This window comes from Homo sapiens, chromosome 1 (genome assembly GCF_000001405.40).
Source record: "Homo sapiens chromosome 1, GRCh38.p14 Primary Assembly".
Taxonomy (NCBI): domain Eukaryota; kingdom Metazoa; phylum Chordata; class Mammalia; order Primates; family Hominidae; genus Homo; species Homo sapiens.
The window spans coordinates 106,231,284-106,236,627 of NC_000001.11; the positions used below are offsets into that span (position 1 = coordinate 106,231,284).

Consider the following 5,344-nt stretch of genomic DNA (forward strand, 5'->3'; position numbering starts at 1 on the left):
TCTATGAGAGTAAAGTTAAGCATTACCAGAAAGCCTTATTCCAAATAAGAGAGAAATTTATTTCAGCAAACATACATAGAAGAAAATACATAAATGGATAATAGTTTGTTTGATGGAAATATAACAGAAATATACTCTGGTAATGCAGTTTATATTTTGCAATTGATCAAAAGGCTATAGTTGATATTTATTGTTCCCTTTGGTATTTACCTACACCTTTTTTTCCATCACCCTCAGGTAACATCTCAGCTGTTTAGAATTATCTGCTTCATGGGGTAAGTTAAATTACTTTTGAAGGACCTGAGTCCATTAAGATCTGCATTTATTGGATTCCTGTATTTTTCTATTGACATCTACCATTTACCATGGAAGTTTCAAGAGGTACTCAGGAAAGGATTTAGATTCCATTCATAGTTTACCCTGCCTCTGTTGAGCACAAGCAGCCTTATTTCACTTTGGTATGTGGAATCAATCATTCTGTCCTATCTTTGGTTCAATGGCATGTGGATCTTGTTGTCACACTCAACGTAAAATAGCAAGACCAATGTCACAAGCCATATTGAAAGTTTTTCTCCAATAAGAACTAATAACCCTAGATAAAAAAAAATCTAAGACTGTGAGAAAAGAAAAAAAAATATTTTGTGAGCTAATAGTTAAATGATTTAGTAAGAGGGACCATGCACACTTCCTCTCCTTACTTTTCAGACTTGTGTATTCTGATTATGAAAGAAATAACACCATATATTACATTGTGTAGGACAGTACCTACCTTCACTGGACTGTTTTAGCAGGTGCCATAACTGAATTTTCAATAAGCCATTTCACCATTCTATTAAAAGTATTACAGGAAGAGAAACTAAATCTGTATAACTTTCTCCTTCCATAATCTCCCACCAAGAGCCTGATTGATCTCCCAAAGCAAGCACCATGTCATAGGTTCCGCATTGGCCTTTGATTTTAGGTTTGGCACAGGAGTAATTCTTCCATTCATTGCTTGGCCAGAGTCTGCAGGACAGGTTTGGCAGCATTGTATCCTTGTCTTCAAAGCAGCATGCTCCCTTTTGGCCCAGGATGTGTCTAGAAATGTTAACTGAAAGCTATGATATGGAAAGGGTGACTCACAACTCTGATTGTTGCCCTACCTTCCTGTGTCTGATTTGGTATCAGAATGATGCACAAAAAAGTCCTCTTTCCTCTCCTCTCCTCAAGAGGAAGAAAGGGGTCTGTTTTGAAGCCATGAGCTGTGCTGCCTGGGGTAGGGGTAGGGGTAGAGGTGGTGTAAGTATTGCCTTAGCCATCCTTTCTGGTGCCTCAGTAATTTGTGTGCCTTCAAAGTCTACTGGCTCTGAACTCAGTTCAGCACTAAGACTTACCTAGGAGTTACAGTCCTTGTGGCTAAGACTACTTTTAAAGTTTATTTAGGGCCTGATATAGTTTGGGTATATGACCCCTCTAAATCTCATGTTGAATTGTAGTCCCCAGTGTTGGAGGTGGGGCCTAGTGGATGATGATTGCATCATGGGGGCAGATTTCTCATGAATGGTTTAGCACTGTCCCCTTGGTGCTGTCCTCATAATAGTGAGTGAGTTCTCATGAGATCTAGTCATTTAAAAGTGAGTGGCACCTCCCCCCACACTCTTGCTCTTGCTCCTGCTTTGGCCCTGGGAAGAGTCTGCTCCCCTATTGCCTTCCTCCTTGATTGGAAGCTTTCTGAGGCCACAGCAAAAGCAGATGTACAGCAGATGCATCTTGTACAGCCTGCATAATTATGAGCCAATTAAACTTCTTTTTTAAATTAATTACCTAGTCTCAGACATTTCTTTATACCAATGCAAGGGCTAATACAAAAAATTGGTACCAGGAGTGGGACATTGCTAGAAAAATGGCTGAAAATGTGGAAGCAACTTTGGAATTGGGTAACAGGCAGAATTTGGAAGAATTTGAAGAGCTCAAAAGGAGAAAGACAGATGAAGAAAAGTTTCTAATTTCTTAAAGACTGATTAAACAGTTGGGAGAAAAATGCTGATAGTAATATGGACAGTGAAGTATAGGCTGCTGAGGTCTCAGATGGAAATGAGGAACTTATTGGAAACTGGCACAAAGGTAACATGTGTTACGCTTTAGCAAATAACTTAACTGCATTGTGTTCATGTCCTCGGGCTCTGTGGAAGATGGAAATTTAGAGTGATACTTTAGGGTATCTGGTGGAAGAAAATTCTAAACAGCAAAGCATTCAAGATGTGACCTAGCTGCTTCTAACAACCTCTGCTCTAACATGGGATCTAGGAAATGACTTAAGGTTGAAATTATATTTAAACAGGAAACAGATCATAATTGGAATATTTGCAGCCTGGCCATGTGACAGCGCAATACATAGCTCTTTAAGTAGTGTTATTCAAGCAGGCTGTGGAGCAACCACTTACTAGAGAAATGTGCATAACTGGAAGGGAGCCAAGGGCTGATAGCCAAGACAATGGAGAAAAGGCCTCAAAGACACTTCAGAGATCTCCCAGGCAGCATCTCTCATCACAGACTCAGATATCTAGGAGGTAAGAATGTATTTGTGCGTTATTCCCATGGTACTACTCAGCCTTGGGACACTTTTCCCCAAATCCCAGCCACTCTGGCTCCAGCCTCAACTCACAGGGGTCTGGTTACAGCTTAGTCTGCAACTCCAGCACCTGAAGGTGCAAACTGTAAGCCTTGACAGCTTCCATGTGGTGTGAATCCTGCAGATGGACAGAATTCAAGAGTGACAGAGGCTTAGCAGCCTCTGCCTAGATTTTGTGGGATGTATGAGAAAGCCTGTGTGTCCAGGCAGAAGCTTGCTGCAGGGGCAAAGCTGCCCCAAAAAACCTCTACTAGGGCAGCGTGGAGGGGAAGTAGAAGGTTGGAGGTTCCACACACAATCCCCATGGAGCACTGCCTACTGGAGCTATGGGAAGGGGATCATCATCCTCCAAATCCCAGAATGGTAGATCCACCAGCACCTTGCACCCTTCCCCTGGAAAAGCCACAGACATACAACTCTAGCCCATGGCAGCAGCCATGGGGGCTGAACCTTGCAAAGCCACAGGGGTGGAACTGCCCAAAGCTTAGCATCCCAAACCTTACACCAGTATGCCATGTATGTGGGACATAGCGTCAATTGGGAGATTATTTTAGACTCCAGGAGTCTCAAAGGTCTCTCTAGGGAGCACTAATTTTCTCTAGGTGTATTTCTGTTTTTGATGTTCCATACATACCCTTTGTGCTTGTTATTTTCATCACTTTGCCCCACCCTCCCTGTTCTGGGACATATTTTTTTTTCTTCACATCACTTTCCATAGTATCAACGCTGTTATTTCCTTTTCTTAAAGTATCAGACATTTTCCCCTGCTACTGCATTTAATTTAATTTCAATATTTCCCTATCTCATCCGTCTCCACTTTATTTCAATCTGACTCTCAGCGAGAAGTTTTGTGATATGTCTTTTGTCTCATCATTCCACATTTCATCTATTACACTAGATCCAAGTTATATTTAATTACATTGAAAACACGGACAGATATATTCTAACATTTTTCTTTTTTCAAAGCCCCCTTTTATCTTATCCTTGAATGATATAACCATCCTTTTTTTGTCATTGTGGAATTTTTTCATAGGTTAAAACTGAGGGCTTTTTTCTTCTCTGTTTAATAATATTAATAATAGAAAGATCTATTCAGAGATATAATTTGCATCAAATGAAAAATTTCTTCTGGTTCTTATCATCTGGTAGATTGCTGTTAGATTCCACATCACAGGCATACTAACACAGAGCCCTGTTTCACACCTAGGTTCATGAAAACTTGACATTTGCCATTCTAAATGCCTAAGATGAAACTGTCACCCTAATTTTTACCAGGATATAATTGAAGAAGTTGCTCAGATTTGTAGCTCTAAAAATAAGAAACTGACTAAATTTGAGTTTTAAAAATGTGAGCTACAATATAAATGTTTATATATTAATAATCTTTCTTCCTTTTTTATAATTTCTATAATTCTTCTGACATTATTTCTTATTACAGAACCAGGGGATCAAAACTATAAAATCAGTAGCTAATGAACAGGACATTTGAGATTGCAGAAAAGATGCCTTTGAAAGATGATGAAAACTGGAACAATTGTTCATTTTCACCAGGATGGGCATCAGGGAAGGGAATCAACAGAAGCCAGAAAACTAGCACTTGAAGACTTATGCCTTATAATATTTGATGAAAAGATCAGAGGCAGAGAGTTCCAGAGGTGAATAGACAAACATTTTTATATTAAACATAAAGTTACTTTGCAGTTTTCAATGTGCTGGTGATGCCTCTCTTCTTGCACATAGGATGGCTCCATTACTTCCAGGCATCACACATAGGAACAACAATTTCTGCAGTTGTCAAGGGGGTGCTTTCATGGATGAGTCTTTATTATGTAAGAAAACATTTCCAGCATTTGTTTCCATTACATACATTTCAACAAGAAAAACGAAGAAAGTATGTATTTCGCATTTTCTGCCTCTTAGATATAAGCCAGACTCTGCGAGGAAGGAAGAATGACACACAGTTTATGGGGTTATGTCACATACCACCAGACATTTATATGTGTTTTCCTGGGACCCAAAGGAAACGTTCAAATTTATCATCTCACTCTGAACCTCCAGAACAATCCCCAAACTAGTCAACAGTCTAACAATTTCCAGAGAAGATGCTTGAATCTGATTGATTCAGGATTTTGAAGATTGAAGTGTAGGTGTGTCCTAGTGGTGTGACGTATGCTAATCTATTATCCTGGAAGCATGTTTTGGTTGCTATTTGAATTTAATATATCTAAAAAATTCCAAGGAATCTTGAACTTACCTCCAAAAATTTACTTCCTCAAATTAAGAAAAAAAAAAAGACTCTTATGACCAGAATAACATAAAACCTAGTACAGGAAAAAAGCAAACCTATCTTCATATCTTATGACTCATCTATTGCTTTGTTAAATGGTATCTCTAATTCTTGCTTATGTCATTAAATTATCTGTCAGATCCAAGCATTCCTTCTCATTCTAAGTCCATTCAAAACAGAAATGTTAAGCCGTAGAAGTGGTTGATATAAAATTGCACTATCAGTTTGGAGATAAAGCTACCTGAAGTTAACCAGCAAGAAACCCTAGAATAACCTAAAAGAGGAGCATCATAGCTGCGTCTCACCTTCTCAGGGAATGGTGAACCTGTAAAAAAAGGGAGTCAATTTCTTATGTCTATCATTCTGTTTTGGCAAACTCTATACTAGTCAAACTTGTGGTTTTGCTGCATATCTTTTCTGTTGCTGTCTCCACTACGCTGGTGTAC

General features: G+C 39.0%; 1 long non-coding RNA gene across 1 annotated transcript; it reads left to right on the forward strand.

The window, feature by feature from the left end:
- Positions 1 to 235: 235 nt before the first annotated feature.
- Positions 236 to 4,266, forward strand: LOC124904596 (uncharacterized). The gene is made up of 3 exons (XR_007067038.1): positions 236 to 275; positions 2,321 to 2,549; positions 4,050 to 4,266. It is a non-coding gene; the product is annotated as an uncharacterized LOC124904596 (long non-coding RNA).
- The last annotated feature ends 1,078 nt before the right edge of the window (positions 4,267 to 5,344 follow it).